We start from the raw sequence: 17,032 nt of genomic DNA on the forward strand, positions 1-17,032 counted from the left end.
GGGGAAAATAAACACCCCGCAGGACATGTGTCATGTGGCCCCCAGGATCTCTACTCCCAAGGCACCGACAGCCAAGAAGAGGGAGTCTGTGGGGATGGCATAAGCCCTGTGGGCTTGCGGCTGGAACAGCTCGAGCAGCTGGGAGGGGAACGCTGCCCACCTTCTCATCCTGTAGCCCAGCCTGGCTCAGCCCCCTGAGCTCAGGGCACCTTCCCACCTATTTCCCTGTAGATCCTGAATAGCAGTTGCCGAATGGCGGAGAAGGCCCAGGGGGAGGAAGGGCCACCAAGCGCAGGTAGACACAGCAAAGATCAGGGAGGTTGGGAAGTCTGCAGGAGCCGCAAGGAGAACACGTGGGTGCTGAGTGGGTGCCAGGAAGGGCCAGAGCTGGGTACTCAGAGGGGCCGGCCAGTGTCTGCTCACCTGGACAGATCATGCAACACAACAGTTTCTCCTGGCAGGAAGAGCTGGAGTCCAGGACATTTCAAAAGGGGCTCTTTTCTCCTCCTGGCTAATTCTGTTTTTCTTTTTATTTTTTTGAGATGGAGTCTCACTCTGTTGCCCAGGCTGGAGTGCTGTGGCCCGATCTCGGCTCACTGCAACCTCCGCCTCCTATGTTCAAGTGATTCTCCTGCCTCAGCCTCCTGAGTAGGTGGGATTACAGGCACCTGCCACCACGCCTGGCTAATTTTTTGTATTTTCAGTAGAGACGGGGTTTTGCCATGTTGGTCAGGCTGGTCTTGAACTCCTGACCTCAGGTGATCTGCCCGCCTCAGCCTCCCAAAGTGCTGGGGATATAGGCATGAGCCACCGCACCTGGCCCTTCTGGCTAATTCTGACCTGGGAGCTCTGGCCAGAAGACCCTTTTGGCAGGGCAGTGAGAGATGGTCTGGGCTCAGTTCCTCTCTATGTGCGGTCTGAACAGGGGTCGGAGGGAGTAGGAGCAGCCTCCTGTGGCTGCCAGTCACCCAAGAGATGATGGAAAGCTGAGGCAAGTGAGAAGGCATCAGGGAAAGAAACCTGGTGGCCAGCTCCAAGAGAGTCGGTTCCTCTAACACACCAGACCAGGGCGTTGCTCCCAGCATGTATCAGCAAGCCCTCACTCACGACAGCACCCTGGATTTTGGGTGCCCCATGCAGTCTGTTCCTGGACTAGCCCAATAGCACCAGTGGAGAACTACCACCAACGTTCTACAGGGAGGGAGGGCAATGAAAGGAAGAATGTGTGTGTTTTCTTCTCAACTTATGGATTTAAAAAATAGGTTTAAAAGAAGAATAAATGATAAGATTAGCCCCCAAACATCCCAGCAACTCAGCCGTACAGCCACGAGCTGGGCCACACTGCTTTTAGCCTTATTTCCTTCATCTCCTCTCTCTCTCTTGGGAGGCGAAGGGGATGGGGAGAATGTGTCCTAATGCTACAGATGGTGACCCAAGTCATCTTCCAGTTGCCATGAGTATCATCTCTGCAGAGGGAAATCCTGAGCTGCCCTTTCCAAGTGGCTCCCCTCACCCAGTGGTATCCCAGGACATATTCTCTTCCCCTCAGAACCCCTTATCTCAGGCCACAGTTGACCCTTTTCTTATTTCTCTCCTTGTGTGCAGTTTCTCCCACCAGAATACAAGCTCATGAGGGCAGGAAGCTGGGTGCCTGCCTAGTCCCTGACTGGATCCCCAGCAGCTCACGCAGGGCTGGGCACATGGTAGGTTTGATAAATGCTGTATCACTGACTATTAAGAGGCTCTGGAGAGGAGCTCAGCAGACTATAGGCTGTAAGCCCGGCCACCTGCACTTGTAAATAAAGTTTCATTTGAACACAGCCGTGCCACTCATTTACATATCTACAGCTGCTTTTGCACTACAACGGCAGCATTAAATAATTGGGATGGAGCTGGAAATGTTTATAATTTGGCCTTTTGCAAAAAAAAGTTTGCTGCCTCCCGCTCTACATGGTGAGAGGTACCACTCATGCATGCCTAAGAGAAACAAGGCTCAAGCTGGAGAGAATAATGGAGGGAACCTGCATAAAGCTGGGAGCCTGCGCTGCGTCCTCAGGGTAAAGACGAGCAAGAAATAAACCCACTCTATAGAAAGGGAGAGCAAAGGAACCCGCTAATCTCTACCCTGGCACAGGGTGGAGGGAGGGAAACAGTCTCTCTGTGAATGCGAACCACAGGCAGAGAACACAAAATGTTCCTGGTGGATGGCACAAGCCACAACCTGACTTCAGCTCCAGCCAAAGCCTCTGCATGGATGCCACTGGCTATAAGGCACACTTGATTTGAGATGTCAACACGTAAAAAACAAAAGTGCAGCTGACAGGCAAAGGAGACTGGCAGTTGTCGAGTGAAGACTCATGTCCCTGTCTCTATCCCAGGTCCAGAAAAATCCCACTCAAGGAACCCCCATCCCTGCGTGGCCACGGGAAGTTGGGGGACATGTCATTGGGCAAAGGAAATTGGAAAGCTGGGGTGAGGGCCGGAAAGAGGCCAGAGTCCCAAACCCCCTTTCCAACTGGTCCAGCTTAAAAGGCTGCTGTTGCATTACACTTCTTATCCAGAAAGAGAACATACACGTAGAAACCAGAGGACCCACGTTAGCTCCCTGGCACAGTGCCCTAGAGATGGGGACACAGAATCAGCTTTGGGGATGGAGAGACACACTAACAGTTACTTAGTTCACGTGAACAGAATAAACATTTCTCCTTTTTAGCTCTGTGTGTTTCTCTACTATTTGGGCTTAGTCTGCTTTTTTTTTTTTTTTTAAGAGGCAAGGTCTTACTGTCACCCAGGCTGGAATGCAGTGGCATGACCACAGCTCACTGCAACCTTAAACTCCTGGGCCCAAGCGATCCTCCTGCCTCAGCCTCCTTAGTAGCTGGGACTGCAGGTGCACACCACCATGCCCAGGTAATTTTTTAATTTTTTTTTTTTTTTGGTAGGGATGGAGTTTCACTATGTTGCCCAGGCTGGTCTCAAATTCCTGGCCTCAAGCAATCTTCCCACCTTGGTCTCTTCAAAGAACTGGGACTACAGGCATGAGCCACCACGTCTGGTCTCCTGGTATGCATTTTATGGCAAACTGGCAACCTAGAAATAGCCACACAAGAAGACACACAGGCAAGGAGTCCTCGTCCTCACAGATACAGGATAGGAGCCCACACTCTGCTGTTAATGGTTCCCAGCGTCGAGACGGAAACTGGCCCAGCATTTTGCAACCAGAAGGAAAAAGGAGAAAACAGAAAAACCCAACCACAGTGGATAAGAAAGGAGATCTGACAGTAAATTTCTTTTAGAGATGGAGTGACCTGGGTAAAAACAGAAAGGAGTTGATATAAAATATAACTCCTCTTAATTTAATATATTTTCCATAGACTTAAAGCATTATTATTTTCTTAAATCAGGGAATAAACAGCATTTTAAAAAATGTCAGCCTCTTCCAGCCCATAACTTGGAGGAATATCTCTTGGTGGTATATAGCCACATATAAAAATATGCTTCCAGCATTTGGCTCCCACCCAGTGGGCAGGGGCTGGGACCATGATGTCCCAAACCCTGAAAATACAGCCTTGAGTCTGGGAGCCACACGCCCAGCTAGGAAGGCCACCTGCCCTCGGAGGAAAATGAACACCTGCACGTTTCCAAAGTATCCACGCTCTGCATGTGTCCATGGAAAGAGAAGAGGCATCTAGGGGAAGAAGGGCTGAGAGGGCAACCGCAGCACTGCAGCCCCTCCATGCCGGGCGGCACACCAGCCAGGAGATGTGGATGGCCACAGGCAGTCCCCGGAGGAGGGATGCCAAGAGGACACATCTGTTTGCTCAGCTGGAGGTAAAACAGCCGGCGTCTGAACGCTTCTGATGATGTGGGTTCCCCTTGCTGAAAGAAATGTGCAGCTGATTTGAACAAGCCACAGCGGGGCAGTGAGTGTTCTCCAAAGGGTCCTCCTGGAAAGCTACTTATCCCAAGACACTGCCACTGTTCCAAAGGTTTCCAGAACGTGCCTTAGAGATGCCTTCAGAAGCCACTAGAACATCCTTTCGAGCAGCTCCACTGCCAGCAAATCTTTAACTCAGTGTCCGTTTTTAAAATGGCTGAGGCTGGAGAGGGCGGTGAGCAGCTGGCGGAAGGAAGGCCCCTCAGCGCAGTGGGGTCCACAGGCTGCTCCCTGGGAGGCTGCTTCTCAGGCCCAGCGACAACAGCATCATGCAGAGAACGCCCTATGTGACACCCACGGGACTCCTAGACCACCGTCCACTGACTCAAAACACGCTCACTGGCACGGTAGGAGTCCTGCACCTAAGAAGACCTGTAACCCGGCAGCTGCTGCTTCTCACAGTCTGATTTACCCTGGCAGCTATGCAGGTAGCAGCAGGCAACTCTGTCTCAGGCTCCCCAGGGGAAAATGAGACCCAAGGTAAAGATGGCTCAGCGGGAGACAGCAGGCAGCACCTGCCCTGGCTTCCCTGGAAGGCCAATCCACGCCATGCTGGCCACACCTGTCCCAGCGTGTTCCTCCATGAATATCATTATTGTGTGGGTCCCCCAGAAGCATGCTGGGGACAGAACACTTCTGGATGCATCCTGGAGTCTACGGTGGTTCAGGTGGGTGGGGCCCCCTACAATGACCCAGGGAATAGGGACATTTTACTAGTTCCCCAAGACCTCTTTATCCACCGTACACAACTGTTTCCACCTTTAGAGCACCTCTCCATCCCACCAAGAACACAGGGTGGTTGGGGCAGTGCCGAAGGACAGACAGCTGCTGCCACATCCCAGCTGGGCCCCTGAGTCTTGCTCAGCCCAAGATGGTGAGAAGAGCAGTTACCTGATGTGCCTGCGGAGAAGTTCTTGAGTGAGGGCCTCTGGACCACGGTGTAGGACTCGCCAACCACGAACACCTTGTACAGGACGGCGTTGTGGTTGATGAAATTCTGGACCACGCAGGGTGGCTGGATGGCGTTCAGGCCCTCCTGGTTGAACACGATAGCCATCTGGGAAGACAAGGGGTCAAAAGCTCTGTCAGAATCCACCACCTTCTCAGCCTCCAACACACAGGTGTGTCACCTGTCCAGAGCACCTCCACCAAGGCCCATCCCTGGTCCTGTGGCATGAGGACTCCCCTAGAGGAGCCTTGAGCCAGGGTGAGTGGAGTGGGACTTGTGAAGAACACCTGGGGATGCATCCCTTCTGCCACGGGGTTGGAGATCCTCCCTTCACCGGGCCTGCCATGTGAGATCGAGCTGGCTGTGCACTGCACAACTTCTGAGAGCGTGACACCACTTGTCGCACTGTGGTCCAGGGAAGGGGGCCGCTGAGGTTGTGTGCTGCTCAACCCTCTGACATCCTAAAGGATCCTCCACAAAGACCCGGGAGGAGGAAGGAAGCAGATGACTCGGGCGCAGGAGTCAGGAGGCCTTGGGTCAAAGCCTGTCTGATGACAACGGCTGCCTCTTGTCAAGCAGTTGTGACAAGCCGGGCCCTGTTCTGAGCACGTACACCAGTTACCTAGTGTCTCCCTCACAATGCACATCTGAGGTGAGCATACAACCTTTCACAGATGAGGACGATGAGGCGCTGAGAGGTTCAGTGACTGCTGGACAGTGAGTGAGCCCGGGATGGAACTGGGTCTGCACAGCACCCAGCCGCGCCCCTACACACGGAGCCATGTGATACTCCGCAAACAACAGGCCTTTGTGCTCCTGGTCCCCGACTCCTCTGGGGAAAAAGGTCCCTGACAGGAGGATCTGGTAGGGGCTGGGGTAGGGAGTGCAGGGGGGCAGCTGCCAAAACCCTCTCAGCCCCGGCCAGCACGGGCTCTGCACAGGGTCTGCTCTAAGGACAGAGGGGTGGGCCCTAGGCCTAGCCGATCCAGCTGCTGGTGCCAGGGTCATGGCTAATCCCTCAGCCCGCAGGGCCCCAGGAAGGAGCCACCAGACGGCTGGGGCTGCTGAGCAGGGATAATGGGCCCCGGAGAGCTGGCTGCCTCCCCAGCTGCCACCCCTTGTGTCAGCTGTCACGGAGCGCCGGCCCTACGTGCCTGGAGCTCAGCTGGGCAGGACAGACGTGGAAATCCAGGCCACATGGGAAAAACAAAAAGTGTGTGTCTGTGCTGGGGGCGTTGGGGGGCAGTGAACATCTCCTCAGCCTTCTGACAAGAATAAAGGACAGGAAAAACACGAGCAGCTCTGGAGTCAGGCAGGGGCTGGAATGCCTGCTGAGCACTTGCTGTGTGAGCCGAGGCTGGGCCCCCACCCTGCTTAAGCGCCACTGTCTTCCTCTGCAAAATCATGGGTGGCTTCAGGGATGCTTTGAGCTTTTGGCTAAGTTATAGCTTAAAAAAAAAAAAAGATTCCACTGTGGAGCAAATGAGTACCCTCACACTGGCTCAAAAACAAAACAAAAACCCAAATAAAAGAGTTCTGAGAACATAAAATGAAGACAGAGTGGTTTAGCAGAAATGGTCCTGGTTTTGGTTGAGTCTCGGGCTGGGAGATTCAGAGGCCGGGAGTGCGCGGGCTGGGATGCAGACGAGGACTCCCGATCAGAAGCACCTGCTGCCCTATCTAAAGCCAGCCATGCACAGTGCTATTTTCTGCCCCTGCTGTACTTGGCTTCCCCGGGTACCCCTGGAATCTGTGAGAAGCTTGTCCCCCAACCTCTGCCGATCTGGTGGACAGTGTCCACCCCAGAGGGCACGTCCCTGCAATGCTAACATGCCCCGTCTGCACAGAGAGTCCGCTGGGGTCTCTGAGTACATGGGACGTGGTGGCACACCTTGCCGGCAGTGGACCCAGACAGCCGGCTGGGGAGTAGAGGGAGGGGCACCTGTACAAACATCCTGGAGCCAGGCGGCTAGAATGAGGAGTGATTTATAGCTTCCCCTGAGCGTGCTGACCCCATACTTGAGGGCTGAGAGTCCCGAGGCCCATCAGGGGCATCCTGAGAGGGGTGCACCTGGATCCAGAACCCCCATCCCCTTCAGCAAGTACCGGGCAAGTACCAGGGCAGCTGGTTCCGGCAGCTCATCCAACAGTCCACCCAGGCAACCCTGGCAGTGACCCCTCATCCTTCACAGAAGCCGCTAACGTCTCCAGTCACAAATGTGATACTCTGGGTGGCTGGGTAATTTGCCAAAGTCGCACAAATGGCAACACACGGCACCAGAATCAGTCCCAGGTCTCTGGGATTCCACAGCCCCGGCCCTCAGGCCTTGAGTGACTCGCAGAAGTGGCTCCCTCCTCCCGGGCTGCCAGGTTCTGAGTTAGGCGGATCTACTCACGTTAATAACTACGCTCGTGCTTCCATCTGGGAACACCCAAGCAACTCACACACAGAGGAACCACTGGGTGGTTAAAGGGGCTGGTGGAAGGCGGGCAGGCAGATACTGGGGCTGAGGGGGGCCTGGGGACCAACGCTGCTGCTCTCGAGCCTTCCTGCTCCCTCCCTGGCCTGGTACATCCTGGAGGGTGCTGCCAGCACCAGGCACAGAGCCCAGGTAGGCTGCGGCAGGAGGGCCAACACCCACAGGAAGACTACGTGAGGGCTCCTGATTTCAGACAACTGACAACGGGACGGCGGGCTGTCTCCACACTCCTTCCCATCACAGCATGTGCTGCGCTACGCTGACACTGTCTGCTGATACTTCCCCGGAAGTGCAGGCCAGGGATAAAGAGCAGTACATAACCCAGGAAAGGCCCATGCTGCTGCATCTTCCCCTTTTAGTCGTGAGCTCTGGGGAGCATTTCTGTTGGTGGGGCTTTCCAAGGACAAGCCTTCCCCAGAGAGCCCACTCCGGTCAGATGCCTGTTGCCCAGCATACCCCAACATGTGCCCACTGGGGAGACCCCAGGCAGTGCTGTGTCCAGGGCAAAGACAAGGCCCCAGGTGTGGCTCCTGAGGGTGGTACGGGCCCTGGCCCCAGCGAAGCCCCTGCATGACCATCCACTCCTCTAGCCCCTGGAGTCCTCACAGGCTCCTTGGCTCTCTCTAGGGACAGGACTCACATCCTATGCATCTGTCTCCTGGTCTCCATGGTCCTCAAGGTGGCCGGGAACATCATAGAGTGAATAAAAGAATGAATGGGCGGGTGGGTGACTCATGATTCAAAGCATTCCACAGGGTTGATTCTAAGCAGCCCTCTTTTCCTCCCTGGCCCGTCTCAATTCAGCAGCATGGCAGACCCCTGTGGCAGTGACAGAGCCTTGTCAGAGCTAACAGCCCTCATGTGGGCCCAGCCCGGTGCCTGCCACAAAACAGGCCCTCGAAGAGATGACACTGATGGCCCAAAGGATAGCCAGCCCTGCAGGGCGGGCCGGACTGAGGCATGACTCGCACAAGCTCCCCTATGGACTGAACGTGTGCCCCAGAATTCCTACGCTGAAGCCCATGCCCCACTGTGGTGGTATCTGGAGGTGGGGCCTTTGGGAGGTCTTGAGGGCAGGGCCCTCAAGATGGGATTAGTGCCCCTATCAGAAGAAATCAGAGAGCTTGCTCTTGCTTTCTGCCCCTCCCCATTCACACACACAAGAGGCCGTGTGAGGACACAGTGAGAAGGTGGCCATTTGCAAGGTAGGAAGAGAGCCCTCACCAGAAACTGACCCTGCTGGCACCTTGACCTGGGACTTTTAGCCTCCGGGGCTGTGAGAAAATAAATGTGGCGAAGCCACCCAGTGCCTGGGGTTTGTTATGGCTGCCACAGCTACGACAGGCTCCACAGAGGACAGGTGGGTCCCCAGCACATCCTCCTGCCTTAGGGACAGGACAGGCATTGAGGTGAGGTTGCAGACAGTGCATGAAGCCACAGCACTCCCGCTCGATTCCTCTGGAGTCCAGGGAAGGGAAGGAGGCTATCTACCAAGGAGCCAGGACTAACAGCAGGGCAGGAGCAGTGGCAGTGAGGAATCCGGCAGGGTAGCAGTGAGACACGATGAGCTGAAAGGATGGGGGTCAGGGACAACAGTCAGATCTTCTTCCACTCACCTCGTGAGAGTTGGTGCCATGAGCCACTCTGGTTTTGCAAACTATGGGTTGGGGAGAGAAAAGCAGAGAGAAATTAGTGAGGCCGTTCACCCACAAGGCAGGTACTTGGCACGTCTAGAAAGGAACTCTAGCTGAGACACAGACTCTGGACACCTGGTATCTGCACTGAGGGTGACGTGTGGGTAGACACCCCCAGGCCAGGCAGGAGAGCACGTTGACCTGTGTCCCCTACCAGGACCCGTTTCTATGGTGTGGGTGGAGGTGGGACCCAGGGCCATGTGCTCATCCATCCTCGGGTGAGCTTAAATCCAGAGGGCACTATAAACCCAGCCCCTCCCCTATGCTGGCCTGCGGTCTACAGCGCCTGCCCTCAGGTGGAGCTGGGATGGTACGCACTGAATGGGAAAGTCAAGCCGTTCTTCTCCAGCAGCCGCATGGTGTCATCCCCGCACAGGCTCGTGAGCTCCATGAAGGGTGGCGAGCAGATCCTGTCGTCTAGGGCAGAAGGGAGGCCTGGTCAGCACAGCTCCTGGGCAGCCGCCCCAGGTGCACGTCCTGTGACAGCCCGCCCCACCCCAGGGGCCTTCAGTGCCCCCACGCTCCTGGATCTGACCGTCCCCAACCTCTGCAGTCCCATGTGCTCGTGTGTGTGAACAATAACCACAGCCCTGCCGTTACATTGTCTAATAACATTTCTGTAATTACAAAACTCGTGTATGATCACTGTGTAAAATCCGAAGAGTACAGAAAAGTAAAAAATGTACATATTGACAAGACATTACAACTACTACCCCACCACTGTGGACTTTTACCCACGCGTACATTTACACGCAGAGAGCTGTACAAATTTTGTAACCTGAATCCTAACTTCATAAGCCATGACCATTTTTTCTGGTTCAATAAAGACTTTCCCACCATGTGATACACTGGCTTAATAATAATCGCAGTGACAATATAGCTCTTAGCATGCGTCTGGCGCTGTACCGAGGGCTTTGCCGGCATCACCTCCACAGTTTGCAAAATAATCCCATGAGGAGGAAACTGGGGTCAGAGAGATTAAAGAACTAGCTGGTGGTGACACAACTGTTTCCACATGGACACTGCCTGACCCCTCACCTGCAGACTACTTAACATAATTGAGGGCATTGTGTGGAGCTCCAGAGGTGGCCTCCCCACCACGCTCACTGCATCTCTGCTGCATGCTCCAGCCCAGGCCGCGCCTGGTCCCCCTGCCAATTCCTCCTCGCCCTTCACAGCTTGGCATTCCTGGGCCCCTCTCCAGGCCCACCCAGTGGATTCTAAGAGTGAGTCCAACTTCCTAAAACCCTCAAAAGCTGACCTGTTCTGTTCATCCTGACTCGTGCCTGGCACCGAGCAGGGGTAAACTGATTTTTTGTGGGATAACAAAATGTATTTGGAATCTCTCTGCTGATGATGAAATTACTGGTTTGTTATTATTGTTTCTTGTCATTGTCCCCCTTCCCTGATAAGACCACAAAGGTGGGACCACCCTGTACTTCAGGGCACAGGGGCCAGGAAAGGCTGAGTGTGAGCGGGGCGGGGGCGGTCTGCCACCCACAGGCTTGGAAACCAAACCAAAAGTAAACAGAGCAAAGCAGACTGTCTCGAGCTGCTAGCTACTTGGCTGGCTAGGAGGTCAGGACATTAAATCAAGGTAGATCCAGCCTCATTTATGTCATAAAAACAAATGCCAAGAATTACACAGGGCATATAAAATTGCTTTTATCTCCCTCCTCATCCTCATTCCCCCGTTCCCCGACTCCTACCCTCACAGTCTAAACTCCAAACAGAAAGATTTGGGGGGTTGCAGTTTCTCTGGGGCACTGGGAGGGTGGTCTGGAGCCAGTGTTTCCTGAGCCCCTGGCAGACAGTGTTGCAGGCCCTCTGCACAGAGGCCTGTTCAATCCCAAGCGGTCCCTGACAGTGTCCAGAAACAGGCCCCAAGGTCATACAGTGGTCAACGGCAGAGCCAGGACAAGGAGCCAGGCTCACCTGGCAGCACAGGAGAGGGGAAGTCAGGAAAGTCAGGGTGGGGAGGGAGGGGAGCTGGTGCTCAGCTGAAAGCCATTTTCCAAACAAGGCCCCAGGCAGGGCGGGAATGCTGTGAGGGCTGGCAGGCCCTCCATGGCTGTCAAGGGAGGAAGCAGTCTGAGCAAAAGCCTCCTCGCTGCAAACACACCGCCCCTGCAACCCAGTCCCAAAGGATATGGTGCTCAGGCCTGAATTTAAACTGGAGGGTTCTGCCATAGGCAGGCTTCGGACGGGCGCTCACCAGCCTGGGCTCCACCCTTGGCCCCTCCTCCCACAGGAAGATTTGGAGGCTGCTGGGGTCAAACAGGCCACCTCCTGGAAGAGCTTCCAGACTCCCTGTGGCCCCCCGGAGTTTTTAGAGCAGGTGAATCAGCTTGGCTTTCAGATTTCAATGCCCTCCTCAACTGTCCCTCCCCACCCTGGCCCATCCAAGCTTTTACATAATGTCACTAGTGGCCAGTAGCCAATGTCTCAAAACACTGCATGTGTTCCATGCCAGAAACTGTTCAACGTAGTTACACAGTAACTCATTTACCCTCATAAGAACCCCACAAGGAAGCACTCCTGTCCCCTGAGAATTTTACAGATGAGGAAACTAGGGCACAGAGGTGGCATTTCCCTGCATAGAGTTCCATGGTGAGCCAGTGGTACAGCCAGGAGGTCATACCCAGACCATCTGACTCCCAGGCCCCTGCTGTTGACTACAGCCTCCCTCGCAGAAAAAGTGCCCATGGAGCTCCCTGGCTCAGGGGGTTCCTGACAGCATGCTACTCTGCTCTGTGGCAAACCTCATAACAATAGCAGTGTCAACACACAGAATCAACCAAGGCAATACACCATATCAATAGAGGACAAAAACCACATGATCATCTCAATGGATGCAGAAAAAGCATTTGAAAAAATCTAAAACCCTTTCATGGCAAGAACACTCCACAAACTAGGAAAATAAGGGAGCTTCTTCAACCTTCTAGAAAAACCCAGACTCCCCAGTGAAAGACTAGACACTTCCCCTAAGACCAGGAACAAGATAAGGAGGTCTGCTCTTGCCACTTCTATTTAACACTGTACTGGAGGTTCTAGCCACGGCCATTAGGCAAGAAAAATGAAACAGCATACAGAGTGGAAGGGAAGAAGTGAAACCATCTCTACTTGCAGATAATAGGATCTTATACATAGAAAATCCCAAGGAATGCACATATTTAAAAAACCTCCAAAACTATTAGAGCTAATAAATGAGTTTAGCAAGGTTGCAGGATACAAGATCAATATATGATAAGCAACTGTACTTTTTTAATTTTTAAAAATTATATTTATGGGTCTGGCATGGTGGCTCACGCCTGTAATCCCAGCACTTTGGGAGGCCAAAGCAGGCGGATCACCTGAGGTTGGGAGTTCAAGACCAGCCTGATCAACATGGAGAAAACCCGTCTCTACTAAAAATACAAAATTAGCCAGGCGTGGTGGTGCACGCCTGTAATCCCAGCTACTCAGGAGGCCGAGGCAGGAGAATCGCTTGAATGCAGGAGGTGGAGGTTGACGTGAGCCAAGATCGCGCCATTGCATTCCAGCCTGGGCAACAAGAGCGAAACTCCATATCAAAAAAAGAGAAAATTATGTATGTGTATTTTAGACAGGGTCTCACTCAGTTGCCTAAGCTAGAGTGCAGTGGCACGATCACAGCTCACTGTAGCCTCAAACTCCCAGGCTCAAGGGATCTTCCCCGCTCAGCCTTCTGAGTAACTGCACCACCATACCCAACTAATTGGTAGAGATGGGGGTCTCACTATGTTGCCCAGACTTGTCTCAAACTCCTTGGCTCAAGTGATTGTCCCGCCTCAGCCTCCCAAAGTGCTGGGATTACAGGTGTGAGCTACCATGCCTGGCCTCAACTGTATTTCTATACCCCAGCAATGAACAATCCAAACATGAAATTAAGAAAACAATTCCATTTATAAAAGCATCAAAAAGAAATAAATTTAAAAAATAAGTGTAAGACTTAAACACTGAAAACTGCAAAATACCATTGAAAGAAATTAAAGAAGACTTCAATAAATGGAAAGACACACAAGGCTCATTAATAGGAGATTTAATATTGTTAAGTGGGCAATACTCCCAAATTGATCTATAGACTCAATATGATAGCCATCAAAACTACAGCTTTTTCTTTGCAGGAAATGACAAGCTGGTCCTAAAATTCCTATGAAAATGCAAGAGACTCAGGACCACTAAAATATCTGGAAAAAGAAAAACAAAGTTGGAGGACTCACACTTCCTCAATACGAAACTTACTACAAAGCTACAGTAATTGAGGCAATGTGGTACCAGCCTAAGGACAGACATACAGATCAATGGAATAGAACAGAGAATCTGGAAATAAACTTGTGCATCTATGCTCAACTGATTTTCTACAAGGGTGCCAAGACAATTCAAGGGGCGGAAAGAATATTCGTTTCAACAAATGGTGCTTGGACAACTGGATATTCACATGCAAAAGAATGAAGATGGAACCCTACTTCACATCGTATACAAAATTAATTCAAAACTGATCATGATCTCATTATAACAGCTAGAACTACAAAACTTTAAAAGAAAACATAGATGTGAACCTTCATGACCGTGCATTAGGCAATGGCTTCTTAGACAGGACACTAAAAGCAAAAGCAACCCAAGGAAAAATAGAATTGGGCATCATCAAAATTTAAAATGTTTTGCTTCAAAGAGCACTATAAAGAAAACATAAAGACAACCCACAGAATGGGGGAAATATTTGCAAATCATGAGAAGCGTCTAGTATCCGAAATATATAAAACACTATCAACAACTGAACAATTAAAAAGATATCTCTATTTAAAAATGGGCAAAGGATTTGAATAGAAAGTTCTCAAAACAAGACATATAAATGGCCAATAAGCACCTTATTAGCCATCGGGGAAATGCAAATCAAAACCACAATGAGACACCACTTTACACCTACCAGGATGACTATAATAAAAGAGACCAAAAATAACAAGTGTTGCTGAGGGTATGGAAAAAATTCCAACCCTCATACATTGCTGGTGGGAATAGAGAAATGGTACAGAAGCTTGGGAAACAGTCTGGCAGTTTTTCAAACAGTTAAACAGAGTGACCATATGATCCAGCAATTCCACTTCTTATACCCAAGAGAATGGAAACATATGTCCGCATAAAATCCTAAAAATGGTTCACAGCAGCATTACTCATCATAGTCCAAATGGGGCAACAATCCAGAAGTCCATCAACTGCAGAAGGAATAAACAAAATGTGACCTACCCATACAATGGAATATTATTCAGCCATGAAAAGGAACAAAGTATTGAGACATGCTACAACATGGAAGAACCATAAAAACACTGGGCTAAGTGGAAGAAGCCAGACACAGAAGACCACATACTGTAAGATTCCATTTATCTGAAATGTCCAGAACACGCACATCCATGGAGACAAAAAAAGAGATTAATGGTTGACAGGAGCTGGGGAAGGAAGGAACTGGGAGGGACTGCAAATGGGTACATTCCTTTGGGGGTGATGAAAATGTTCTAGAATTAGTAGTGATGACCGCACAATTTTGTGAATATAATCAAAACTACAGAACTAGATGTACACTTAAAAAAGGTAAATTTGGCTGGGCATGGTGGCTCACAACTGTAATCCCAGCACTTTGGGAGGCCGAGGTGGGCCGATCACCTGAAGTCAGGAGTTTGAGACCAGCCTGGCCAACATGGTGAAACCCTGTCTCTACTAAAAATACAAGAATTAGCTGGGTGTGGTGGCACATGTCTGTAATCCCAGCGACTCGGGGAGGCTGAGGAAGGAGAATCCTTTGAACCCGGGAGGCGGAGGTTGCAGTGAGCCAAGATCGCGTCACTGCACTCCAGCCTGGTAACAGAGCGAGACTCTGTCTCAAAAAAAAAATAGAAAGGTAAATGTATGATACATAAATTGTATCAATACATTAAGGGGAAAAAAAACCTAGTAGCAGTAGCTGTCATCCAGAGTGCTTGCCCTCTGCAGGACACTGGGCTAAGTAAATGCTTCACAACCACGGTCTCCTCCAGTCCTCCCTACACACGCATTGAGTCTTGTTCCTCATCCCCACTGGGTCTGAGGTGAAGTCAGAGAAGGAACAAGGGGAGCCCATCTTCCTCCAGAGATGTCTGGAGTCCAGACGAAATGCAAGAACAAGACATTTTCAAAGAATGGGCCACATCCAGCATCAGGCCAGACACCCCCACCCTTCTGAAATCCCAGGCTCTGTTAAGACAGCAGCCTAGGTGGGAGCAGGAATTGGGTGGCCAGGAAAGGTCTGCACGGTCATTCTTGTTCATTCGTCCCAGGCTGGAGCTTGCTGACCACACTCTGAGCGGCAGACACACCGGCTGCCTGGACCACTCCTGCTCTGGCGTGGGGTGGGGACTCAACTGAGACTCGCCCAGCCACACTGCTAGGATGAGCTCGTATTCCAAGCTTGGGCACCAGCCTTTGCTGAAGGCAGTCTTGAGCCCACAGAGCACATGCTGGGAAGGACCCCATCTCTCAGTGGACACAGACTGTTTTGCATCCCGAGCTGCCCCCGCTCGGGTTGCTGGGCATGACAGGCTGCTATGTCTGCACCGCTTGAGTCAGTTTCTGGTAGCCAAAAGCATCCCGACACACCCATGAAGTGAGAGTAAATAAGAAACGTAGAGTACTACTGTTCCAATAACCATTCACCAACAGAAAAACATGTTGAGCCTCTACTAGATGCCAGGAGCTAACAATATAGTAATAAATAAAACAGAGGCATCCCTGTCCTCGAGGAGCTTACATTCTAGTGGAAGGGACCCAGACAATAATCCAGAGAGATAAATGAAATGTATAGCTGGCCGGAGCTGGCAGGGAAACATTAACCACAAAATGGGGGTGCCGGCAGAGGTGGGGTATGCGATTTGAACAACATGGTGAGGGGCACCTTCCAAAGACTGGGGGGGTGGGGAGGCGCCAACGAGGCACAGGGAACAGCCGGTGCAAAGGCCCAACCTGCTGCTCTTAGGATGTATGAACTGGACCCAACCTGAGAACGCTCCAGCTGAGTGGGAGGCTGGGAAGGAACCAGGCCCAGCTGTCTTCACTGGCAGGTGGCGCCCAGGTGCACCCCCACCATCTCAGTACCAGCAGACAAGCCCCTTCTGCCTGCCTGAGGGACAGCGACAGCAGGGGTTCCTCCCTCTCGATCACGAGAAGCTCGCAGTGGTGGCGCCAGCAGCTCTTCTCCCAGAATAGAGACAGAATGAAGACTTGGGAAGTCAGAGCGGGGAGCCCGGGAGGCTATTTCTGGTTCCCTGAAAAAGGCGACTGTTGCTTATTTCTCTGCCATCCTTATTTTTGGATGGGAGGTGGAATGAGGCTTTCTTTGGTTGGATGGTGGGTTGTGTTCTTTTGAGAGCGAATATCAGCCCCTGGGAAACGGAAATGCTCCCGTCTTCCCTCTCTGCCTTTCCAAATCAGACACCATGAAGCGGGAGGGCACGTGGAGATGGGCAAGTCCCAGCCACAGGCTTCCACAAGTCCAGAAAGGGGAAGGAACTAGTTCAAGGCCACACGAGTTACCAGCAGAGCCAGAAAAAGGCTGGCCTCCCGCGTCACACCTCATTACCCATCCACTCCACCAGGTGACCTTTCCCTCATCCGACCGGTAGCAGCTACAGAACTTACAAGAAAACAAAAGTTCAGTGACAAACAGGTGGACCCGAGAGGACAACAGGGGTGGAGGGAGGAGGAAATGAGCACCTGAAGGGGCAGTTTTGAAGCCAGCCAGCCCGACGCTGGACCTGGGGCAAACTTCCACTAGCTGAAACCTTGGGCACACGACTTAACTCTGCTGAGCCTTGCTTTCCTCTCTATAAAATGGGAGTGTTGCTTCCCTAGAGAGCTGCTGGGAGGCCTGGCACACGACAGGCACCCAGCGGGGGATGCCCTCAGGGGAGGAGGCAGGTGTCAA

General features: G+C 52.1%; 1 protein-coding gene across 6 annotated transcripts in view, besides 1 other annotated feature; it reads right to left on the bottom strand.

The window, feature by feature from the left end:
* ITPK1 (inositol-tetrakisphosphate 1-kinase) overlaps positions 1-17,032 on the bottom strand; it is a 179,012-nt gene that overhangs the window by 16,459 nt on the left and 145,521 nt on the right. For all 6 annotated transcript variants that reach the window (NM_001142593.3, XM_047431351.1, NM_001142594.3 and 3 more), the window contains 3 exons: positions 9,379-9,477; positions 8,983-9,023; positions 4,829-4,994 (listed from right to left, as the gene is read on the bottom strand). In NM_001142593.3, the coding sequence (NP_001136065.1) occupies positions 4,829-4,994; positions 8,983-9,023; positions 9,379-9,477 (306 nt within the window). The remainder of the gene's footprint in view (positions 1-4,828; positions 4,995-8,982; positions 9,024-9,378; positions 9,478-17,032) is intronic.
* Positions 8,332-8,896: an enhancer, noted in NCBI's record as "H3K4me1 hESC enhancer chr14:93428049-93428613 (GRCh37/hg19 assembly coordinates)". NCBI's record gives its function as "activates a minimal SCP1, AML or CMV promoter by ChIP-STARR-seq in primed H9 embryonic stem cells {active_cell/tissue: H9 hESC(primed)}" and the evidence as "EXISTENCE:reporter gene assay evidence [ECO:0000049][PMID:30033119]".

The sequence above is a fragment of the Homo sapiens genome, chromosome 14 (assembly GCF_000001405.40).
Source record: "Homo sapiens chromosome 14, GRCh38.p14 Primary Assembly".
Lineage (NCBI taxonomy): Eukaryota > Metazoa > Chordata > Mammalia > Primates > Hominidae > Homo > Homo sapiens.